Genomic DNA, 26,959 nt, shown 5'->3' on the forward strand with positions numbered 1-26,959 from the left:
ATGGGACAAGCATGGTTACTCATGCCTATAATCCTAGCATTTTGGGAGTCTGAGGCAAGAGTTCAAGACCAGCCTAAGCAACATAGACCCCAAATCTACAAAATAATTTTTTTTTTAATTAGCCAGGTGTGATAGTGCATGTCTGTAGTCCTAGCTATTCAGGAGACTGAAGTGAAAGGATTGCTTGAACCATAGAGTTTAAGGCTACAGTGAGCTATGATTGTGCCACTGTACTCCAGCCTGCATGACAGAGCCAGATCCTCTCTCTCTCTCTCTCTCTATATATATATATATGTTATATATATATGTTATATATATGTTATATATATGTTATATATATGTTATATATATATGTTATATATATGTTATATATATATGTTATATATATGTGTTTTATATATATAAAGCAAATCAACAAATAATTCAAATATATTTTAAATTCTGAATAGTATTCTTGGAATTATATCCAAAATATGGGCTTTTTAATATTGAGATATTACTAAGCATCAAATATAAATTAAAATGTATTTCAAAGGATTAATGAAAGAGCTTTAAAAAGAATCAGAAAAGTAATTAATTTCTTCTATATAGACAACCCTGCTTGTGCTATAGAATATCAAATATACAGCATATTGTTCTCCTCTAGTTGACAGTCACTAGAGATATAAGACATAAAACTAGTATTAAAAATAATATAATTTACAACAATATTAATGGTAAAAAAAAAAGTATGTCTTATAAGTGCCAGCAAATTCAGAGGAGGGAGTGTCATTGCCATGTGCAGAAGTGAAACACATTATGTCAGAAGTGGCATGAGTGTGTGTAGGTTTGGAAAAGCACCTAGATAGGACAATAGCAATATCAAAGGCACTGAGGACAATAGCAATAGCAAAGGCACTGAGGTGACAGTGAGCAAAGCAAACCAGATTGCATGTAATAGAGGGTTCCTTTTGGAGAACAGTTGCCTGTGTGGGTGGTGCTGGATTTGTAGATGTCCTTAGTAAGAGATTTGGTTTCATTGTAAGGCCACTGGCATCAGTGAAGGATTTTTGACCTGGGAAATGGCATGAGGAATGTGATATATTCAGATTAGCAAGAAAAATTTGGGGAAAGATAGTGGCCTGCCTAGAATTTCTACATATGGTGTAGCATAGAGACATCAAACTATTTAGAGTGGGAAACTAAGGTACTTCTTTGGAAATTTTGGTTACAGACATTTTCACATACAATTAAGAAAATATCAACACTAAAGAATGGGATTGTGTGATGCTGGTGGAGATGGGTGAGAGTTAGAAGCCATGCAGAAATGTAGTCAGTCAGTGAATAATATAGGCTTCTATTCGGGTTATGTCACGTGCATGCCAAATATATATATTATATATATAATATATACTATATATACAGTATATATTATATATAATATATACAGTATATATTATATACTATATATACAGTATATATTATATATAAAATATATATATATGTACTGGCCTTGGAAAATAAAGCAAAAGAACAAAGATTAATTTCTATTTAATTCCTTCTAATTTCTAGGTCTTAATGGAAATGGACTTCATGACTTCACAGATTAAGTTAGTAAACAGTTTTTGAAAATCAGTTATATGTGTGTATATGTATGTTAACAAATTGTCTTTCAGAAGATTACAAACACATTCTTGTTAGATATTTATTTCTAATTTTAAAGGTTTGCATTAAGACGTATTAATATTTTTATAGTTAATGTACTGTGGTAGGGATTGGCAAGCTATTTTATCAAAGGGCCAGACAGAAAATTTTTAGGCTTTGTGGGCCACGCGTAGTCTCTATTACAATTACTCAGCTCTGCTGTTGTAGCAAGAAAGCAGCCACAAACAATAAGCAGTTCTTATCATGTTCCAATAAAATTTTATTACTAAAAACAAGTGACAGTCCCATTTGACCTTCAGACTGTATTTTGTCAACCCCTGGCATATGTTGTCATGGTTGAACATGAATCCAGAAAATGGCTTTGAAATTATAAAAACCATACTGTTAAAAGATAACAAATACATGAAGACTATGTGAAGACAATAGTTAATATATTTCCCTTTATGAAGTCCCATGGATGGAATCTTTAGATTTCTCTCAAGTCAGAGCATGTTAGATACTGGAGACTCTTTCCTAAGCCACTAGCTTGGTTTTGGAATCAGTGTTTGTGACGTTGATTTTGTCTCCATTTTTTTCTTGGCTTCTAGTAATCTCAGAATAAAATCGTGTCCCCCTTCAAGTAACTGTGTAGAATCTTTAGTAGACATTTCATACACTAACATTTTCATGCATCGTTTTCTTATGATTTCTCTTTATCCTAATTTTATTGAATCTTTTTATTAAAAGGTAAAATGTAAATCAAACTACATTCTGTATTTTCATCAGAGATCTACTTTTAATGAAAGTCTGTGACCAGAACAGTATTCACTTTTCAGAAGGAAAAGATGGCATGGCCTTTCAATCATATTGTACTATCAAATTAGGACAGATTGCATTGTTCTTGTTCAGTTTTCACAACTGAAATCATTTTCTCAAAAATAAATTATAATGTGTGTGTGAATATGCTGTTGGAGGACATTTGTTAAATCTGTTACCCTTGCACTTAAAAAAAATGGGGTGGATTTGTTGCTTCTGAACCTTTCACTGTTCGTTATCACAAATGTCTTTTAAACAGTTTTTCAACCCTCTCAACTTTAGTGGTCCTGGTAGGAAGATGCTAAGACCCAGGTATTTTGTCTTATAAGTGCATGGTCATGAAAATATTCTGAGAATTAGAATTTAGATATGTAAGCACTATTCTGTCTCTCTCCAGAATGCCACATGAGGTTTTCTCATTCAAACTGAAATCTGGGACTTATAGTATAACTGTGAATTTTGATTTTTGTTTTGTTTTACATATTCTCATGTGAAATTGTACTGTTGCCTTCTAATTTCGATAATAGGTAGATATTGTGGATACATTGGAATTAGAATTAAATAATTGGCCTAATTTTAACTGTCCTATTAAATCAATAGTGAGATTGTTTGACTCTTCCAGAAATGACACGATGGACAAGAGAGCCCCCCATGTGACCATTAGCCTGAAAACAAAAACTTACTAATTAGCTGTGACTTGATAATGATTCTTAGACATAATCAATGGGAGTGTCAAGGGAAATGGCAATATTCTTCTTTAAAAATTAAGAAAAATAGAAGAATACTGTACAAAAATACATAAGTTAGAAAGTTCTTGGTTGTCAGATAGTTAGTGGTTTGTTCCCCCTTATCAGGACTTGTATTTGAGATAAGTCGTTCCCCTGTAATCATCTTGCATTGTTTAGAGTCACAGAGAATTAGAAATGTAACAAGTTGCATTTCAACCAGATGTGGAACATAGACAACACCTTGAGTGATGAGCCATAGGTATAGTCAGAACCAGATTTCAACAAATATTATTGCCTAGGTGCAATTGCAAGGAAAGTACAATAGGCATGAGACTGTACTATTGTTATGGTAGTGAAATATATAAAGTATCTCGAATATTAGCAAGAGGTTACATTAAGCTAAGTTAGTCAAAATGAAAAGATGGTGTTGTACTTTGCTAAAGTGAGTTCAATTTTATTTTCCCATGGCAAAGAAAAAAATTCGTATTTTATTATACATATCAGATACTTATGGAAACAGTCTGTAGATAAGGATGTGGATGTAAATGGAGTATGAATATTTAACCTTGAGAATATTATTTTCATTATTTTAAAATAATTATTTCAGTAAATTGCTTAGGGTTCCTGTATTATGCAGGGTTATTTTTTGCATTACAAAATATTTCAAAAACATGAGAGCAGCCACTGGAAACTTTGTGATGAATTAAGTATTCATGACTTTGTATCTTGTGATTAAAACATAGTTTATTGTGTAAATAACTCCACCGATTTTATTCAGCATCCTTTTTCTGGGAATATAATTAGGAAAAGTCATTGAACAATTGCAGTTGCCTTTCTCAAAATATTATGCACCTTCTTAAACCTGCAGAGAAGATTCTATATGTTTATGGAGAATCTCCTCTCACCATTGAGCTGAGGAGCCCTGGTTTAGGCCAAGGCACATCTGGAAAATGCTTCTCCTTAGAAAAGTACTATTGGCTTAAACAGAGTGGCACCACTTATTCATGCCATTTCTGGACTCATGTCAGCATCCTCAGGATGGAATGAAAAGTAACCTTACGATGACACGGCTCTCTGGTGGTCAGATTTGCTGTTACATATCATCTTCATAAAATCTAGGTATACATATATTCAAAACACAGACAATATTTCAAATTTTTGGATAACTACATTATATTATTATTTATAATATAATCTAATAATAGAATAAAATAGACCTCCTGTTGGAAAAATCCATACCAACTCTAATAAAAATTTCATTTTGCTCTTAAAAATAACATACTGATTTTTATTCGGTTGCCATTTAACTGCATAAAAATTTTTAAGTTAGACATTTGAAGTTATACATGAACAGTGTAATGCCTCCTCATTGATGGTATATAAATAAAGTTTCTTCTCTAATTCCGAGGTTGGAGAGAATAAAATGGAGAACAAAGAGGGGTATCATATGGTGATTGCTTTGTATAACTCCAGTTTGACTGAGTGCTGTTATTTCTGTGTACCCACATTGCTGCTCTGTTTTGTCATTTATAAGATTATACATTTGATTACCTAATTCCATGACTACATGTGATTGCTAAGGTCCACATTTATTAATACCTATACTTCTTTGAACAAGATGCCTAATATGTATGTGTGTATAAATGTGTACATATATATAATTTACAAAGGACAACTTTGCATAGACTCATAAAGGAAGTACTGAAAAAAAATCTAAGTTGAAACTAAACTATGACTTTCTTGGCCCTTGTTTCAGTATTTTTAAGGTGAGGATAATTACCAAAGATCTCTTGAGTTTTTTGTTTTGTTTTATTTTTGCTTCACATCTAGGAATCTGGAAGTCAAATTAAAGCTATCTTTTAGAGCAAAGACTTATTGTTTCTCAGGAAGTGAGAGAGAGTGAACAAAATATATGCCACAATTGTAGCTCCATAGAAAAAGGCAATGTCAACAGTTTTACCCTACATAAGAGATGCATATCACTTATTGGTCACATTAGCCATTTGAGAACCGTTAGAAAGTAAGCAACTGTCACCCTTTATAAAATTGTATAAAGTTTATACAATTTTAAGTCGATGTTATGTTATCCCAGTGCTTGGTACTGGGATATACAACATGAATAGATATAGACAAAGCACTGAATTTATCTGGAGGAGAATGTAAATAAAATAACATCTTACTGACCCCTATTTATTTTATGGTTTTATTGTCCACACAATAACTTTAAAAAATCATGATAAGTTACAAACTGTTCTATTACACTGTGTTTAGATTTATCACTCTATATCATTTTATAGGCCACATAATTTTTATGGAATAGTTCACTTTTTAAATATTTATCCTTGAAACATTCACTAATTTCAGTTTTGAAGTTGTGAACAAGACACCATAGTCACTACATAATTTTTGTTTCCTTGTTTGTACAGTATTTGCAATATTTCATTCTCTTATTCACCATGATATCCCAGTTGTGTCTATGAAGGGAATGGTCAATAAGTATTTTTGAGTAAATCAATGAATAGTTTTAGAGACACAAGCTTAGAATCCCAAAAGGTTTAACAAAACTTATTTCATCCTATACCAAAAAGGAAATGGTGAGTACTTTTGGAGAAAACAAGATTTGAAAGAATCAACACTATCTGTTTCTCTTAAAAAGAAAAAGAAACCTCATTCATTTGTCTAAAATATCCAATTTTTATCTTTGACACAGAAATTCTTATAACACCGCCCTCTTATTGAGTCCTTGAGAAAGTCATTTGACCCTCTGGGCCTTAGTTTTCTAATAAAATAAGGGGATAAATTTGTCTCCAAGACTGCTTGTTTTATGGTTAATTGGAAGAGCATTGCATTAATTCACACTTTTACACAAATCAGTCATCTTAGCTACCTGTTTGCTCAAAAAAGACTGCAATAGTTGGAATGCTGGACAGGTAAGTTTTTTTTGTTTGTTTTAATTAGGGAAATCTGAATGTCATAAAGGAAGGTTGGAATTATAAGGCACCTTTCAGAGGAAACAAATCTATCCACAGTGAACACTTACTTTATATTCAGCAAGTGTTTATTAAGAACCAGTTATGAGTTTCCTACTGTGATGAGCCATGTTAGCAGTACAAAGTAAAAGACAATCCCACATCCTTGCCCTCCTGAAGCCTGTTACCCAGTTGAAGTCAGCCACCTCACATCCTTTTGGCAACTAAACAGACTATAAATAAGTGCTTATCATATCACTAATTTACATTTTTAAAAGTCTTTGGGGGAGGAAACATACATGTGATACACTTAAATAAGAGCCCAGTCATAATTATAGTTGTGTGCTAAAATCATCATTTATGGTCATGTATAAAAATGATGATTCTAATGCATAACCATGTAAATAATGATACAAGTAATCAGAGCTGTTGGAAAGATGAGACTGAGACAAAGTTTTGGGAAAAGACAGATACAACTTTACATTCTTTGTAGATTATATTCACCCTTCCTGTATCTGGTGTGGATTTTTAAAAGAATAAAAAATCTTCTTGAAAAAAATAATTTGCAATAGAAAGGCAACAAGGTTGTTTTTCTTCACTAATGTACATAATACCACGTTTTATTTCTTTGGGCAGTTAAGTCTTAATTCATCAGGCGTATGGATAAAACATTACTCATAAATCCTTTAAATTTTTTGTTATATACAGATGATCTACCAATGTCTATTTAAATTCTCTGAGAATGTCTTCCACTTCAAATGTAAATCCTTTGGAGGACATGATGCTTTGGAAAAGAAGGGAAAAAGGAGGTATCCCCAAAGGATTTATTGTACTGCTTTTCGAAGTGGAGGCCAGCTGTTTTTGGACCTAGAATTAAAATGTAAATTATCAAAGGGAAATAATGAGAGCCATTCCTTTTAAACAATGCCCAGTGCAATCAGAGTAAGAAAAGGATTTAGGGAGATTTCCTTCTATGCACAAGTCACGAATGATGAAGTGAAAGGCTGGGAGGGAAGTGATTTGCAAGGAACTAAGTGAACACAACCCACTGATTGTCTAGGACACTTAGAAGTTGAATTAATCGAGGAACAGGCCTTCAGTTCTGCTGGGCCTGAATCCAAATCACAAGATAACTGTGCATGGAACTTAGGAAGTTACTACATTAGTACTATAGCAGGACTGTAAATGGAACTACAGTGCCGGCATGAGTTGCATTTCAATTCATGTGGTTTTTGAATCAAAACAGAGGTCTTTTAGCACAATGTAGTCAGTCAGTGCCACATGGGAACAAAACAGAAAGATTATACATGTTTCCTCAGGATTGTCTATATTAATTATTGGACAAACACCCATAAAAGCTTTTAAATTTGAGGATTTTCACAAATAAATTAGTTTTTATTATGTTTTTCTACAAATGTAAGTGCTTCAGAAAGGCCCAGATGTTCTAACCAGGGCTACATACATAGAGTATACTCATTTAACTATTTCTATTAAGTCCTAATATTTAATGTCAATCAGATGTCCTAGTATGTGATGAGGAAATAAAATGTTGATGAGGAAAGGAAAAAGTGTAGATATATTGATTTGTAATTGGTTTTTACACAAGTAAACCACTAAGTTGAGGGAGCAAAAGAACTTTAACCTCAAAAAATTGGGGGGTCTAGGGGCCCCCAAGACATTGATCAATGATTTTGCCTTTTTGTATGGGTTGGTGAACAATTTCTGTAGTGTCCAAATGACTAAAGATCAGATTGCAGTTAATGATTGAAATAGTAAGAGATTTTATTAGCAAGTAAATGTTTAATTATCAGCTTAAATTTTGGCATTATCTCCTCATCCTCTACCTCCAGTATTTTATTAAGGTCCCTGACTCTTCTTTCTGTTTACACTTTCACTGGATGATCTTTTCCATTGTCCGATATTTAACAACCATTTGTATTCTGACTACTTCCTAATCTGTATCTCCAGTTTGGGAATCTTCCCTGAGAGTCAGGCTCATATATCCAACTGCCTGCCAGGTGGCTTCACTGGTGTTCTGCAGGCACTTGAAACTCAACATGTTCATAATGAAACTTATTTCAATATCCACCCTTACATTCCTCTTAGAGTCCCCATTTTAGGTCATGGAACTATTCCAAGTCAGAAATGAAAAAGTCATCCTAGACTCCTAAATATATATTTCTTTCAAATTTTTCTCCTTTTCATCTCTACTGTCACTGAATTTGTTTTTCACCTTTCGTCTGAAATATAGCATTTGATTTCCTTGCCTCCAAACTTTTCCCATTAAATTCGCTATTTATATGAGCCAGAGTGATTGATCTTTCTTATCTGCATATTTAACCAAATCACTCCTCTGTTTAAAATCCTTCCTCCAGTATTAATATAGCATATAAAACCATGCAAATCTGGAAGCATGCTATCTCTTCAATCTTATTTTCAGCCACTCCCTTCCTGTATTTTTGGCCTCAGAAATACCAATCTACTATAGTCTCCACACATTACTTGCTCTGTTCTTCCCATTATAGGTTTTTTTTTTTTCTCCTTGGCTAGCTGCTTTTAATCTTTCAAAACCAGCTCAGTTTTTGTATTTCTATCCCACTGTCTATTTATACTTCTTGCAGGAAGTAACCATCATATTCATTTTTGTAAATCCAGTTTCTAGCAGAGTGCCTGGCATATACTATGTACTGAATAATTATTTGTTTAACCAAACAACAATGCAGGTTCACCGTTCTGTTTAGCTTTTGCTAGTGATTATTTGATTAAATTGGTGCTTGTCTACTGCACTGTTTCCCTCTACAGAGCTAACATTAGTCAAATGCTTTAGTATAACAAATATTTTTATCATACTTCTTGATGTATGCTACCAGTCTCTTCAACGACCCACTCCCAAAGAACACTTGTTCCATTATTACACCCTATCCTGGATAAACTAAAGACTCAACCTCAGTTTCTTCACTTCGGCCATGGGGATAGTTTATTTCCCAAAGTTTTGTGAGAGTTAACTGATGGAGAGCTTATGTGAACATGGAAGCATGGTGTCAGGCACACATCATTGGAGTTGAGTAAATATTCAGTGAATTTTCATAAAACATGAAGACTCAACATTTTCTAAAATGTTTCAACACCGTCATTAGGAAATAAAGATGATGAACAGCTGCTCATAGGAAAGAGGTGAGCTAAAACTTTAATCTACCAGAGGAGGCTACCATGGGGCTGTTTCCACACTTGACATCACTTTGGATTCTTTACATTCAGCAAACCTCCAAGCAAAACCAGTTTTAGGAATATATTATTCAAGTACTGAGAAAGAATTTTAACATTTCCTTTGTATAATAGTTAAGTATTTTGTTTCAATTTTAGAGATTTTCATAAGGTCAGCAGAGATGTCTGTATGCTTGAAATCTATATTGTTTTGCTCAGGTTAATTTAATTTAATGGCAATAAATGATTTACCAAGCACATTAACCATTAACACCAGCAAAGTAGTCAGAAGTTTAAGACATCTATCTCAAGTTAATGCAGGAAATTAGAACCCCCATCTTTAATTCTTTCTCGGGGACTAAAATTTGAAATGTATGTGTCTCTCTAGTTCAGTATTTCTTGTCTTTGCTCAAGGATTAATTATATTACTCAGTCTCAATGAATAAGGAAATTAATAATTCATGCCTAAATATTACATAGGTGAACATTTTTGTTGTACTAATTAGTATCTTGTAATTAAAAGTCTTGTATGACAAGTACGTGAGACTGTCGGCTGAAATAACCATACATTCCAATTAGATTCAGTAAGTCAGTATCATTTATGGGGAGGAAGCCTATTTGTCTAAAATTAGAACCTGGGCTGGGCTGATATTTTGAATCAAGATCTGAAGTGAATTTTGGTTGCAGTTTAGTAAAATTAAGATATTTTGTCAGAGGGAAAATGAAAATTAAAGTAAAATTCAAACCTCATTACAGTAATTACTAAAGGAGTATGTAAGTTAATTGTTTAACTTGAAATTTAATTATAATAACTATTTTTATTTTTCAAACTGAGTCATCGTTGAAACTTAGTTTGCTATTCAACCGTGTATTCTTTGAGGAAATTTGAAAGACACTTGGTTTCTTGATTAAAAGTTCTTATCGGGAGCAATTTTTAAAAATAGTATATTTTTAAAATTTTAAAGTACTTTATAAAATCTCACACTTTCAAAAAGAAATGTTTGATTGTCACATATAAAAAAGCTTAAGTCAAGCTTTTTTGTGATGATGTGTTACCATCACTACTCTTACAGACATGGTTTTTTTTGTTTGTTTGAATGCTACATTGTTTTTGCCTGATTCTGTAATCAATAAATTTCCTAAGGACTATTTAGTTGTAATTCTCTTGAAATTAAAAAATAATGTATATGGATCACTCAGATTTTGATTTAGAATCAATTGTGATACCTTAACACATAAGTATCTAATTAGCTCCAAAGCGGCTTCCACATTTAAGTAATATTAAAAATTGCTAATAAAGCCTAATCCTATTCAAATACTTCTAATGGGCAATAGGGACACTACAGTTATTTTGCCTTCATGCTCTCAAGAGAGAGGTTTACGTTCACCTTTATTTTTGTAAACTGACTCCATGATATGCACAATGTCATTCTCTGCTGAGGTAATGGTGAAAGTGAATATCACTGAAAGCAAAAGCTACATTATAATTATTATGCAGAATAGATTGACAAGAGTATGGTTTCAGTGTTTGGGTTTTCTTAAAACCCTAAATCTATGTGGCACAGGTTTTTCAGCAGAGACGTTGCAACACATTTAAAACATATAGCCAGAAATGTGGGTGGAGACAAGAAAAGTTGGTGCTCTTGTTTCTTATGGAAAAGCAAAAATCACTCAGAACACAAGATCCTCTGGGCACGTAACTAATCTGTATTAAGAGTAAGATGTCATTTTTATGTAACATCTTAACTACGGTGACTTATTAAATATGATCAAGAAAATCATGTTCTACCAACAGGACTGAACTTGAGAATAACAATCAGAAGCATTGGCAAACCATTCCAACACCCACATCTTCCAAGAAAATTACTCATAATAGCAATTTGCATTGAGGTATTAGGCAGCATGTTTTAATAATATGTGGACTCAAACTCAACAAGAAAATATAGCAGCTCTTTTCTTTTTGTCCACAGACCATAAAACATACCATAACCTAAATGAACAAAAAGCCACATGTTTTTTGACAATCAAAACCTAAGTACCTACACTTCCTGCCCATTATAGAATACCATAAAAAAATCAATGATCCATCACAAGATTTATCTGCAAGAACCCAAACAATAGATATTAAAAAGAAAATATTTGGGTTTTGGGGGTAGTTGTTTAAAATTGTTCAATTTAATGCCGTAATATGGTCATAAGCTTGATGTGTTTTCAGAAAAAAAAGTAAAATTATTTAAGAAAAGTGTCAGTTTTCATATAGTTTCTTACTTTTTAAAATTAATCATATTTCTATTGACTAGTAAACCTCAAACACATACATTGCTAAATGTGGTTCTGGCTTATCATACCTGGTTTCTTTAGAGTCATATAGACCTTTAGTTAACAATTTGACTGTAGTTATGTCCAAAGTTCTGCCTTGGAATTTTTCCTTCTTTGACCTAGCTTTAATATTACATTGTATATTTCATCCTTTCCATTGAAAAAGAAAGATCCCAAGGGTAGCTTGTATTTTTCACCCTCCAAACCCCGACATCACCAATCTCAGTTCTGGAAAAAAATAGAATCACTGCATTAAATTACTTTGGAAAAGTTGGGTAGTTAATGACTAAAAATGAAACAGACTGTACATTTTAAAATGTAGAAAATTTTTTATTTAGAGGCTTAACCTAGAACTGCCTAGACATGAATGAGCCAAGGAAAAAAATTTATGGTAATACCAAAAGCATTTAAAATTACATTATTAAAATAGGTGGAGGGAAATGAGGTTCCAGCTGACTTTTCTCCCCACCCCATTTTGAATAAGTACATCTTGTTTTCTCAAATCACGGGAGGTTTTCTTTAAATTTTAATTGTGAAACCAATAATAGTAGGACGGTGTAAAGTAGAAGGCTGCTTGAGAGAAAGAATCCTACTGCTGTGTTTAAATAGAGTACCTTTGGCCCTCTATTGAGATTTACTTGACTCATCCAAGTTCAAAATTAAAGAGTGGTATTAGTTTTCCAAAACTTCAGAGGTTTGACAGTGTCACTTCAATAGCAGATATTTTCTCAGATACTACTTACCTAGGTAATGTAGGTACTTCAAGATTACCTAGGACCTCTAAGGCCAACCTTTTTTTCTGGCAAAGCTGCAGCTTGCCACAACCCACATCTTGATTTTTCTTTCTGGAGCTAATATATAAGTAGATAACTAAAAGCAGTAAAGCAGTAGAGTAACTCCTTCTTCTTCCAGACAGAAGTTCTACATGGACATGAAATTGTGGCCTTCTTTGGTGCCTGGACTAAAACATCCTTTTTGTTCAGACCCAAGTGACATTTCATTAAATTGATCATGAACTTTCTATTTGATAAAAATGTGGCTTTTTAGTGGCTCACAAGTCTGCAGACTTGATTTTAGGAAAGAGGCCACTTTCACAGAACTACCAAATATTATCCTACCTTGAACTGCTGCCCTTTTGCTAGCCATATCTTCTAAACTACCTGTTGTGGATCATATTGGTCTGTTTGGGCTCAGACTTTCACCTTTAAGGTTTTGCTAGGGATAAAATGTAATATGTTATATAACCCCAGGCTACTGAAATCTCCTTTGCTAGCATCTTGGTAGCAACTCTCTCATTCATATGGAGAAATTCTTACTAAAAATTTGAGTAGCCAGCAAAAGAAACGATAGCATTTTGTTTAGAGGATCTTAAGGGACAGTCTCACATGCTGATGGAGAGGGTAGTCATGATGAGGGTATCAATTCTTGATACTATCCTCAGTGATGTTGCTAACCCCAAGGATCCCTTAGCAGATCATTATTCAAGCCAGTGTCAGGTTGTTTCCCAATTCTCTAAGTTTGAGACCTGTACTATCAGTACTTCCAAATAAGAGACTATCAGTTATGTCCTAGTTACTCAGAGAATAGTGGAAGATAACTCCATGCCCTAGCTAAAAGAGACACAACAAGGACTGCAAAGTTCAGTAGAGGGCTCACCAGCTCTATTATAAGTGGTTAACTCATAACTTAAAATTCTGCTTTTAAAGCAGCCCTTCCCAAAGTATGGTCCCTGGACTAAGAGTATCGGCCTCACTTGAAAACGTGTTAGAAATGTAAATTCTACTTCATATTTACTATGTTTAGCAAGCTGTCTGGTGATTCAGATGCACACAAAAGTTTTGAAAGCACGGCCTTAATGTGCAGTATCATCCTTCACCATGTAATATACAACAAGTAGAAGAAAAATCTACTGTCCTACAACAGCATTGCTCCAGGGTAATTCAATGAGGTATTGAACCTGAAAGATGATCCAAATAAAGAGGTCTATTGTTGAAATTTGGGCAACATGTATAAATATGTAAAACATAAAATTGCTCTCATATAATCACTTGAGGTTGGGAGGTAGGTAGCTGTTATAACCATGAAAAGACCATTTCAGTAGTTTTTCCCCTCCTGTTGACCCTAAAGCTGGCAGCCAATCTTGCGTGCTCCCCAAACCAGAATTATTAATAATTAACTGCTTCCCAAGGATTAACAGAACAACATACCTGGACTACATACTAGGACTAAAGAGTCTTCACTTGGTTGTGTTAATTTCTTGTAGCTGCCATAAGAAATTATCACAAACTTGGTGCTTTAAAACAATAGAAATGTATTCTCTTACAGTTCTGGAGGCCAGGGCTCTGAAATTAAGGTATTGGCAGGATGGTGGTCCCTATAGAGGTTCCAGGGAAGATCCCATTCCTTGCCTCTTCTAATTTCTATTAGCTGTTGATGCTTCTTGGTTTGTGGCTACATCACTCCAATCTTTGCCTCCTTTTTCACATGGACTTCTCTTTTGTCTCTCAAATCTCCTGTGTGTGTCTCTTATAAAAGGTTACTTGTCACTGGGTTTCAGGCCCATCAGATCCAGGGTCTCTACATCTCAAGATCTTTAATTTATACCTATAAAAAACCTTTTTCCAAATAAGGTAACGTTCATGGGTTCTGGGAATTAAAGCATGGACATATCTTTTGGGGGGCCACCATTTAACCACCATACCATGTGGTAGCCACCTGCATACTTATGGTACTTATGGCCACAGTTTTTGGACTAGAGAGATATGGGGGACTCTGTAACTAAAGCCTGCTTTTATAATGTCATTGTTAGAGTCCCATAACTAACCAGGGTAAGTCTTGTACGTGCTTCCATTAGGTCTTCCCTGACTTCGCACATGATTTTTTTCTAGGCATTAGAATACGGAGCTTCCAAGTTCAGCACCTTGGTCTAAAGAGGCAAAGGAAGACTCAACCATTAGGTTATACATTCCACAGTCTTATTTAGCACTGTATCACCTAGCACACTGGCTGGACCATAGTAGGTGCTTAGCACTTTTTTTAAAAAATTAAAGAAGAAACAATAGAATCAAAAAATTTTTTCAGGCCCAACAGACGCAGGCAGTTAGGGAAAGAACAAACTGTCACGCTCCTTATTCCAGAACTACAAAAATACTTGAGAGGGACTGCTTAAGAAAACTGGATGTTTAGAGAATGCGTTTCCCTCTCCTTCCATGTCCATAGTCTATACCAATTATCTCAAAACCTTTTCATGACATACCTATTGCTAAAACAGTATTGAACATACTGTCTAAAATGCATAGTAATTTATTATACTTTTAATAGTTATGTAGTTCAGAACTTGTTATATATATATAAAATATAGAAATTGAAATTAAAAAGAGCAAATTAAGCATAAAATAAAGAATAATTTCAAATATCTTGCAAATCACAGTGGCTTAATATCTCAAAGAAAAATGTAATTTGAGTGAGTTTCATCATTAATGATATTGGATATAAAGCTATATTGCAAGTAGTCTTGATGATTTCCAGTTTCTTTGTCTGACTTCTCATCAGATCTGAATAGGCTTTCATTGTGTATGTCTGAAAAGATTTTGTATTGAAGGTTAGTGACACTTTTTATTGCTGTGTGTTGCAGGAGTATACTTGTATTATCAGTATTATCTTCCATTTGTTCTTTATGCATAGGGAATTTTTTAAGTCACTTATCTTTTTTATTTTCTTTTATTCTATTTTATTTTATTTATTTGAGACAAAGTTTCACTCTTGTAGCCCAGGCTAGAGTGCAGTGGCGCAATCTCATGTCACTGCAACCTCCGCCTCCCAGGTTCAAGTGATTCTCCTGCCTCAGTCTCCCGAGTAGCTGGGACTACAGACATGTACCACCACGGCCAGCAAATTTTTGTATTTTTAGTAGAGATGGGGTTTCACCATGTTGCCCAGGCTGGTCTTGAACTCCCGACCTCAAGTAATCCACCTGCCTCGGCCTCCCAAAGTGCTGGGATTATAGGTGTGAGCCACCGTGCACAGCCAACTTACCTTTTTTTAACAGATTATTAAACCTCACATCCACTGGCCAAGGCACACATAAACTGTCACACATGTAATAAGCCAAGAGCAATGAACAAGAAGAACCTTTTCTTACTCCCTTTATTAAGAGCCATCCAGTCATCGCTTGGCCTCAGTAACAAGTGGCTTTTGACTTATAGGCCAAGTGAAGTCTCCCATGTCAATTTACAGATTAGTAACATTTCATTTCAGTTAGTCTTAGGGAAGAATCATAAATATAATTTCTAATATCTACTTCCTACACTTCAGTATAAATCACATATTTTTACTGCATCACTTAGTACTTGAATCTAAAACTCTTCATTATTTGCTTTTGTTCAAGTATATTTATATGCTCCTCAGAATGTCTGTAATGAAGATAGGGGTAATGTCTTACACTTCTTCAGTATCTTCTATATCATCCAAGAGTATCTTGTAAAAAGTTAATGCTCACAAATACTATGTGATTAAGGACTGTAGCTCATTGGAAAGTCTGACTTCTCTATGACTTTTTTGATTCATTACATATATTTAATAAATCAGAGAAAAATAGAAATCACCTCAGTGTAGCTTATTAAAATGGGCAGTATAGTATATAATATCAGAAAAATGAATGAGATTAGAAACTGGAAGCTACTGCAGAATTGTAATTATTAGAATTATATAATTATTAGAATTTCTAATTCTATAATCATTAGATTTCTAAGTTATGAAATAATTTTTTTTCCCAAGCCATTAGCAAGTTTGAGTTTTGTTCCTTATTTCTTCTGCTGGGTATGTAAAGACAATATCTGCTGGCCTGGTAACCTGAAGAATGTAATCCAAATCCACATACATTGAATCTGAACAATTGAGTTATTTATCCTCTGATACTGATATAAGATACACCTAGATACAGAAGGTTCTATAACATGAAGTTGGACTATGTTTAGGGAAAAAAATGTATAAAAGATAATCTTCATTTGCTCATCACACTCATCCACTCTCCACCTTTCTCTACCCTGGTGAGGGGGTGAGTGTGACCCTAGGCGTCTGCCCATCAGGCTGCTGCTCCTCTGGCTTCCTGTTGGATTCAGACAATGGGGAGCAAGAATAGGTGATCAGCAGGTGAGAAAGGAGCAAGGCCAGCTCTTTATTTCCCCCTTCCCTCCATGCCCTGCTGCTAAGATTCCCACAGTGTCTGTGCCTCCCAGGTAAGTAGTTCAGGCCCCCTTTCCTGGCAGTAGCTGTGGTGGGGTCTGTTTACACTGTTCCCTCCCCTTGCTCCCATGGCTCTGAGGTGGTAACAGTTTTCTACTTTTCTAGCCCTGGCTGTTGCAACATCCCTCCTTGGTTTCCGTAACCTTATCCGTAGCTCTTTATGAGAGATCCCTTCATCAAAAGCCCACTTTTCTAATTGGAGCCTGACACATACACATACTAAACAGGGCTTTAGTGTTTAATGCAGACATTCAGCAAACTTGCTGCTGGGTGTATGTAGGCACAGCTGTAGGAGGCTAAAAATAGCTCTGTCTGCAACATTGTTTTTTCTTTTGAAATTCTAAGCTCCATTTTGGGGGACTCAGTAAGGACTTTATCTTTAGGTGCCAGCTTTTCTCTTGCAACCTAATCCTCTCTCTACTCTCACAAAGAACCTGATAATAGTCACCAGTTACCCTTGTTACTGACCACACAATATTTTAAAATCGATGAATTTTAGAGAGGCATACCTCAGCCTAGAACTCTGTTTTTCATCTTTCTCTCTTTTCAATAAAAAGATTGTATTGATTGTTAATGCAATTTTAGAAAGCACCAAGTTCATGTAGAACTAATTGAGGACCCAAAAGAACACCTTGAAATCAAAATAGGCTGTTTGCAAGTCTAGCCTTGAGAATAAACCATATCATTTCTTTGAGGTTAGGAGTGTGAAAGGGTATGAAGTGACAGTCTAGGTATTTTTCTCCTTTAGAGATGGATCTGTGATCTCTACAAGTAGACAGAGTAGGGGAGAGGGTTGACCTATATGCAAATACTAAAGACCTATTTCTAGGAGCTATTTGGTTTCAGCAGCTTCTTCAAGGATGTAAAACCCACTTTCATCCTATCCCCTGGCAGGTCCTTCTCTCTAGAAAGGCATTCTGTCAGGAACTCTCCTCTTTCCTATTGAGCATAGATCAGTTTCCTTTCATCTAAACACCTCTGAATACATTTTGCATTTTTTCACATACCTAGAAAAAAATCATGGTTAGTACCCCTTTATGGTATCCTGAGGCATATCATATCCCTAGGCATCCCATTTTCTTTTTGCCTCTGATAATGACAGGGCAAACAAAGTGCATCTTTCGAATGAAACTTCATCAGTTGGATTAGAATAAAACCATATTAAAGGATGGATCCACATTTTAGAATTCTGGATAGCAATATATTTGGTACTTCTAGCATACAGTCCTATCTCTTATAATGCTTCTCTTCCCTTCAGTTTTTAGCCTGCATACATACCTCAGTACCAGCCAACGGTTCTTTATGCAACCTGAAACATGCAGAGAAGTAGAGGGGACTGTTTTTAATATCTTACCTTAACTCCTTTGCTGCAATCTTATAGCATTCTTTTATTTAACAATCAAAAGGATACACTTAGTTGGTCACAGTTGTCTCTATAACACTATTGATCTTTTATATATATAAATAATTTATACCTATCCATTTTTTTCTTCTTCATTGTAAAAGAAATTGGAAATATTTAGCTTTAATCTTTTGTTTTTGCTCAAAGTTCTTATATTTCAATCCTGCAATTTTATTTCTTTCTGTTTGTGTTTTCTCCTGCATGTCTATATTTTAAGTGTAGGATAGCCAAAAAGTGATTTCTGTGGCTTATACGAAAACACAATTCATATGGTGTGCCTTATGGTCTTTGTGATTAATACCCTGTTATTCCATCTCAGAATGACAAAATAAGTGTAGCGATGTTGTTGTTCCTTCGATGAGCTATCTGAACCCCTGGATATTCTCTGCTTTAATGATGCATGATCAGCCATTATCTATCTCGTATTTTCTTTGTTTAAGAAATTAATGACAAACTGGCCATGATAGTAACGGTTTGGCATTTTGCTTGGCAAATTCATTCCTGCATAAGTTGAATTTCATGTGTTAAAAAGAAAGTTTTTTTCCCCACTTAAGAAATAAAATATCAGATTCTACCCACTTAATATCAAAGTACTTTAAGATTGGAATGTACAGTTTTAATACATAACAATGCAACATAACGACTTAAAAGGGCTGGAAGAGGACTAGGATTACATGTATATATACCTATGACTGTTACTGTTTATATTTTTTCCTAAAAATTAAAGCCTAAATCATCTCAAACATTTATATGTGCCCATTTTATCCTTCCAAATAAAAAGATTACATAATATTCTGTTAGTAACTAAAATTCTTGTTTAAAATTTTTTTTATCAATAAATTATTTTTTTAAACCAAAGGATTCCCTATTCTTTCTTTACATAGATGGGGTGTCATGTCAGGAAAAGTGATATTTCTCACATGAGTCACTATCTTAATGTGGACATGATTAGGGTACACAGATGGCACTATATGATAACCTTTCTACTGGACTAAAAAAAATAGAGGACAGGCCGGGTGTCGTGGCTCACGCCTGTAATCCCAGAACTTTGGGAGGCCCAGACGGGTGGATCACAAGGTCAGGAGATCAAGACCAACCTGGCTAACACAGTGAAACCCCATCTCTACTAAAAATACAAAAAATTAGCCAGGCGTGGTGGCGGGCGCCTGTAGTCCCAGCTACTCCGGAGGCTGAGGCAGGAGAATGGTGTGAACCTGGGAGGCGGAGCTTGCAGTGAGCCTAGATCGCGCTCTGCACTCCATCCCGGGCAACAGAGCGAGACTCTGTCTCAAAAAAAAAAAAAAAAAAAAAAAAAAAGTAGAGGACAAATTTTAATGCAATTAGCTCAGCCCAGGAGAGAGTGAAAAAGCTCAATTCTAAAATAAGAAAAAAGGAATCATTCTTCTTTCTGGTGTAAGGCAGGATTGTTCAACCACAGCTAATATGTTAGGAAATCATCAATATATTCACTGAATACTGAATATATAAAGAGAGAGATGGAGTCTCGCTCTGTCACCCAGGCTGGAGTGCAGTGGCACGATCTCTGCTCATTGCAACCTCTGCCTCCCGAGTTCAAGCAATTCTCCCTCCCTCAGCCTCCCGAGTAGCTGGGATTAGAGGCACCCACCACCATGCCCGGCTAGTTTTTGTATTTTTTAGTAGAGATAGGGTTTCACCATGTTGGCCAGGCTGGTCATGAACTCCTGACCTCAAGTGATCCATCCACCTTGGCCTCTCAAAGTGCTGGGATTACAGGCATGAGCCACTGCACCTGTCCTAAATACTGAATATCTTAGTAAATTCCACTGCATAGCAAACTAAAAGAGTCTTTTAAAATATAGAATACATAATCATATGTAGTTGCATTATTATGTAAATATATGATAATAACAAATATTTGTGTACTAGACTAAGGGTTAAACAGGTGCATTGCACTCATTGTGTGTGTGTGTGTAATCATTTACTCTGTCTTAGTCAACTTTGGCTGCTGTATCAAAATACCATAGATTGTGTGTCTTAAACAGCAGACATTTATTTCTCACAGTTCTGGAGGCTAGACAGTCCAATAACAAGGTGCCAGAAGATTCAGTTCCTGGTAAAGACTGTCTTCCTGGACTGTAGACAGCCATCTTCTTGCTGTGTCCCCACATGGTGGAGAAAGGGGGAAAGCAAGCTCTCTCGTCTCTTCTTATGAGGGCACTAATCACATCATGAGGACCTCACCCTGATTAACCTCATCTAAACCCAGTTACCTCCGAAAGGCCCCATCTCCAAATACCATCACATTGGAGGTTAGGTCTCCAACATATAAACCTTGTGGGGACATAATTTAGTCCTTAATGTTTTCCTTATACAATCTTATTAAGTAGGTACCATTATCAACCTTACTTTACAAATGAAGAAACTGACATGAAGAGATGATAGATAATCTGTCCAAGGTCACACAGATAGTAAGTAATAAAGTTAGAATTTTATTTTTTGATCTTATTTTGTCTTTATGAACAATCACATTTTAAAGGCACATTAAAATATAATAGATTAACAAGTAGTTTTATCTCTGAAATTGCTCCAGCTCTGTGCTGTTATTGTCAAAGCTGGCCTCTACTCATGATAACCAGAGTGAAAGGTGAAAGTGTACTATTGTTTCATATTTATCATCCCTTGTAATGATCCTCAAATGTTCAAAATATGGATGCATCTTTAGGAAGATTTCCTGACACACTTCAAAAATTATTAGCATGAATTACTTGTATAAAATGCAGAGCATTAATAAAAAACACGGCTTCATGTTCTTAATATATGTAGAGCTGGATGACTCTGATATATAAATAAATTTTTTAAGGTTTCTAGTAATGTTTTAAAAAGCCACCTTGTAATCCTGGTCCTGAGGAATGGATGTCTTGCTTGTGGTGATTTAGAATAACTGGATTCTCATTCTTAAGGTATTAATTATTCACTTGGCTCTACACCTTACTGACTGACCCACATTATCCTTGCGAGTACTAGCATTCTACTACTACTACCACCATTACTGTGAATGGCTTTTTGGATTTTCTAAGTGCCAGGCATATTATTAAACATGATATCTACACTATTTCCTGTAATCCTCAGAATGATCTTGTTAGGTCAATGTACCCCAGTTTTACTGACAACTCCTTAGGACTCAAGGTCAAAACCTCTGCATCTTTGATCTAAAGCAGCCATAAAAAGAAGTGACTATCACTCATACTCCCTGGCATCTTGTCACACTTGTGCCTTTGAGTAATTTTTTAAATGAACCTTATCATGTGGTAAGGTACATCCGAGGTGCTAAATGGTGAATCCTGTCACTTTCAGGAATCGGAAAGGATTTATAAGATCTTCCAGTGCATCCTTAGGAATTATAATCTCAAACCAAGAAGATTGGTTTTCTGCTTATAGTATTAAAAATATCAGGTCTGGGAGGGACTTTAGATGTCACTGTTCTAAACCTTCATTTTACTAATGGGGAAACTGAGGCCCAGTGAATGAAGGAGCCAGTTTAAGGTAATGTACCACATTTGTGGTATAATGAAGAACCATCATTTTACTACTCAGGCCTCTTGCTCTGAAGCAGTGTGGGTCCTAGTGAATCTATGTTAGATATGAGAAAGAATGGTGGAAGCACAAAGGCTGCAAACTGAGTCTGTATCTGTGATTAGGGAAAGCCTGCAAAGATACCAAGACATACAGACCATGTGGGAGGGAGGAAGAAAAGAGCCAATGACAAACTAAGAGTAGCTCTACTTTCTCTGTTCCATTTATTGCACTTGTCCTTGATCCCTCAAAGAGGAAGTGTTGTGGTCATTGTTGTTCACTGTGATCACATGTTAACAAGTAGAGGCCACAAGTTACCTGTTTACTTCCTTAGGTCAGACATTAGCCTATGAAACAGTGTGCCTTCTTCATATGAAACACTTAGCTCACAACAGCATGTTATAAACTGCAAACTCCATGTAAATCACATTCAAGAATTGGGAGTTGGGATAAAGAACAATCTTCATCTTTGTGTCATGGTCTTTGTTATAGATAAATTGTCATCATTATAGGAATCTTAGGGAAGTAAATTGGTGGCCCACTTCTTCCAACACACACACATGTACACACACAAACACATGCACAGATCAAAAGAAATTAGGTGGATCACTTTAAGGAGAACCCCATTCCACTTATAGGTAATAATTTTAATCACAGTTAATATTTAGTTAGTGTTTTACTGTATAAAATGTGTTTCAATAACATTATCTCATTCAACATTACAACCTGTTTTGAGGTGGTAGTTATTTCTTTCTTGGTTTTACAGATGAAGATATTAAGAATCGTGAAGGGCGTGAATGGCTTGGCTATGGCAGCTACCCAGATGAGCTTTTGCATAGATATTGGCTCATCTTTTCTGCACTTTCACTGGGTCTGGCAAAATCTTCCTAAATTACCCACCACCTAGTCTGGAGAGGTACTTGTTGACCTATGTATCTTATCTGGGGAGCAGTGAACCAGCTGCTAGAAAATGACTGCATACATGCACAAGTGCATCCTACGTTATTGCTCATTTTTGGAAGCAGGAATGATACAGTACAAAAATGGAGGCCTAAGGAAGTTTATTCAGTTTAGATTTTTTGTGTGAATGGGATGCTTTGGTATAGTAGAAAGAATATTCAACCGGTGGTCATATAATGAAGCTCTGAACTGCAACTCTTATGAGTTCTGTGACCTGAACATGTAGCTTATTCTCTCTGAGCATCAAATTCCTCATCCATTAAAAGAGGACAGGGATATCCACCATATGTACTTCATAGGATTGTTGGAATGACTAAACTCTATGCATCACATGAAAGTTCTCTGAAAATGGGAGGATACATGAGAAGCGTTCTAGAGATAGGGACATGGAGATGGGGGATTATAGCCCAGGTTGTGTCCTATTAGTGTAGATACCTGAGTTTCATTGCCATCTTTGCCTTTCCTTCTTAAGTTAGGATGATCCAAAGTGAACCACAAACCATGGGCCACAGTATGCTACTGCCCTTCTCAACCACTCAAATAAATTGCAGCTATAAAGGAAGATATCTCCACAGTGTGTTTTTATCTTGATTTTGTTGGGACTGCCAACTTTTTTTTGTTAAATTTTAAAAGGCTGCACTATGTTTCCAGTATTGATTATTAGTGTGTCCTGAGCATTGGGATAATACAAATAAGTAGGTAATTTTTTTTTTTACTTTGGCAGAACTCTCTGCTGCTAAAATGCCAGAAATCCCATTTAATAAAGTAGAATCATTGTAAAAGGCTTGGCTATACTCCCAGAACAGGAGATTCCCCAGTGAGAAACCACCTGTTAGTAAAGTCTTCATTACACTGTTTGGAGTCACAGAAGAATGTAAATTATCCAGAGCAGGCAACACAGAGGGTCTGGAGGGAAATTACCTCCTCCCTAACAACTCAAAGACTGTATAGTTATACCACTATTATATGAGTGGATGCATTCCAACTATACCCTCTGTAACTAAAACTTTTTAAAAAGGAACTGTTCTAGGGTTAGGGACATGGAGGTAGAAATAATATCGAGAGCAAAGGAAACAGGAAAACTGAGATTAAGATTAACACCAACCAAAATATGGTCCATGCAAAGTAATTAAGTAACTAGAACTCATTCACAGTAAGAGGTCAGGCTGCCTATTGAGAGATAGTTGAGACTGCCTAAAGGGGATGGTCACTGTATTTGAATAATAAAGCAACTGGGAGTTTAGGGAAAGTGAAGATATTTTGGATTTTCTCCAGCATCTGTGTTGTTTACCTCTAATCACAATAATAATTCATATGGGTAGAGCTCAGTATTTCCAAACCTGAATCACACAGGCTGCCTCCTGCCCATCAGAAGTCCCATAGAGGTGTTTGAGGCATACGATGCTCCCTCCACCTGCCTGAGAAGCAGTGAAGGATACTGGTTAAGAGCATATGGTCTAGAGTAACTTTGTGTAAGTGCTCTAAGCTCTCTATACCTTAGTCTTTTCATATGTCAAGCAGAGATGATACTTATATGTAGCTTATAGGGCTGTTGGGGAGATCGCATGATTTATAATACATGTAAAGTGCTTAGAAAGGTAATGTTATCTGACAAATAATCATTGAGCAAAGTTGAATGATAAGGAAATATAGATCAAGCTATTGCTATTTGTGAAATTCATTTTACCTCTGTAAGACATTTTAATTTTTTCCCTAGTATTCTGGCCCTTTCATGCCCAGTATATATAGTGTACTAATTAAGAGAATGAGTTATGTAGTCCAACTGCTTGTGTTTAAATTATGGCTCCACTCTTTATTAGCTCTCATCTTGGGTAAATTATTTAACATCTCATGCCTCTGTTTTCTCATCTGTAAAATGGAGATAATGCCATTCATATAGTTTTGAGGTTGAATAGTGAGTCAGTGAAGTGAGACATGGAAAGCCCTAGAACAGTGCCTGGCACATCTTAAGTGCTTGTCCAATGCTAGCTGTCATCATCATTATTATTATTTTCCTCTGGAACTTACTTTTTCTCCATAACTGGGACCACTAGATACCCCCTTAAAATCTACCCCTTTCCTAATATTCAAGACGAAGCCTGGCCTAAAGTTAAAGATCCAGGAAAACAACTCTAAGTCTGTCTCAGCAGTGCATCATCCCATTCTGCCCTCCAGGCAGATTCGGATCTTGGTGTCTAGCTCTCATACATGGGTTTCTACTGTAATTCTTTTGTCCTGATTTCTATTCTAGCACTCTATGAGACTCCCTGGACTCTCTTACATCTGAGGTGCTTTTCTACTGCCTTAGAGAACAATCACATCACTGAGGTTCATTGGTAAATCTCTCTGATGTGCACTGCCTACCAGGCCACCATGCATTTTTTTGATTAGTAGCAGTTTGGGACTTGCAGGCCCTAGTCTTCATGCCTGCAGGACTGTGCTGGATGTCCTGTAGGTCTTGGACCCATCATGTTTGACTATTCCATGGAGCTTCTATTCTTAGTACTTGAAACCCTCTCAGGCCCATGGAGAGTCTCTCCAACTCTTAGCCCCTTTCCTTGTCTTTCTTGCACATCAGCCACAACCTCTGATGAGCAAATAAGGCCTGTTGCTAGATTAACTGATATTCTATGAGTCCAACCTCCTTTACAAAACAAATACTTGGAGATTCAGCTAAGTGGGGTAAAATTTTTCAACTCAGCACATAAATTATTCTGTTTAGAAATTATAATTCAGTTTTTACAAACCTGTTTTAATTTGTGAGTACAAATGTGATATTTCACTGTGTGTGTGCATGTGTGCATAGTTTCCTCAATAAATTCTGGAATTATCGTTTTCATGAAGTAAGAAGTATATAAAATAGATGAAGAAATTGGCCATCGTAATGTATGAAGATTACTAATATCTGACTAACCGTGTTTACAATGACGGTCTATGTCAGCTATGCCTATTCAGAGGAAAACAACATAGGTGGTTTTAAAAAGAACAAACTGGTTCTTTGGGACGTGGATATTGGTTTCATAAGGTAGACACTGGCCCTAGAAAATCACTGCAGTGCAATAAATTTAGTGACTCAGGTGCCTTAGAGTTGAAAGAGAAAAAAATTCCCTTGGTAACTGGGATATGGGGGAACTAGGAGAAATGATCTTCCCTTTCCCTTTCCCTTTCCTTTCCTTTTCTTTCCTTCCTTCCCTTCTCTTTCCCTTCTCTCCTTTTCCTTCCTTCCTTCCTTCCTTCTTTCCTTCCTCTTTATTTTTTTCTCTTTCTTTTCACTCTCTTTTTTCATCTTTTAACTAATTTATAACAAATTTTCTCTTTCTTCTGTTTGTGGTAAGTAGAATCTTACTTTGTGGGTAATTAAAAAATGGAAACTTTTTGGTTGTTGTTTTTTTGAGACAGAGTCTCACTGTGTCTCCCAGGCCAGAGTACAGTGGCATAATCTTGGCTCACTGCAACCTCTGCCTCCCGGGTTCAAGTGATTCTCCTGCCTCAGCCTCCCGAGTAGCTGGGATTACAGGCACGCACCACCACACCCAGCTAATTTTTGTATTTCTTGTAGAGACAGGTTTTCACCATGTTGGCCAGGCTGCTCTTGAACTCCTGGCCTCAAGTGATCCACCTACCTCAGCCTCCCAAAGTGCTGGGATTATAGTAGTGAGCCACTGTGCCCGGCCAAAAAATGGAAACTTTGAAGATATAAACTTGTTTCACTGGAAAGTAAAAATAAACAAACAACCCATTAAATACTCCAGAAAACGTGATTATTAAGTAAACTTAATTATTACTACCAGAAAACTATTCACAATGGTTCAAATTAAAAATAAAGCATTTGTTTAAAAATCTGTGCTCTCCAAAATGAACTACATGACTACTTACATTTGAGTTAAATAAATGTAATAAAATTTGAAATTTAGTTACTCAGTTGCACTGCCCTCATTTCAAGTGCTCCAGAGACACATGGGGCTAGTGGCAACCATGCCAGACAGTATGGATTCACATAAGTTTATATTGGATCATTGCAGAAAGTTTGACTGCATAGCATGGCTTTAAATAATTCCCCTGTTTAAAATTCGTAGTTTAATAGATTTTTTTTTTTTCGAGACGGAGTTTTGCTCTTATTGCCCAGACTGCAGTGCAAT

The 26,959-nt window shown here is 35.7% G+C and overlaps 1 protein-coding gene across 35 annotated transcripts in view, besides 1 other annotated feature; it reads left to right on the plus strand.

Annotated features, from left to right (window-relative positions):
• MAP2 (microtubule associated protein 2) overlaps positions 1–26,959 on the plus strand; it is a 310,066-nt gene that overhangs the window by 10,508 nt on the left and 272,599 nt on the right. The window lies entirely within an intron of this gene.
• Positions 16,567–17,068: an enhancer, noted in NCBI's record as "NANOG hESC enhancer chr2:210315845-210316346 (GRCh37/hg19 assembly coordinates)". NCBI's record gives its function as "activates a minimal SCP1, AML or CMV promoter by ChIP-STARR-seq in naive H9 embryonic stem cells {active_cell/tissue: H9 hESC(naive)}" and the evidence as "EXISTENCE:reporter gene assay evidence [ECO:0000049][PMID:30033119]".

Source organism: Homo sapiens, chromosome 2 (assembly GCF_000001405.40).
Source record: "Homo sapiens chromosome 2, GRCh38.p14 Primary Assembly".
Classification (NCBI taxonomy): domain Eukaryota; kingdom Metazoa; phylum Chordata; class Mammalia; order Primates; family Hominidae; genus Homo; species Homo sapiens.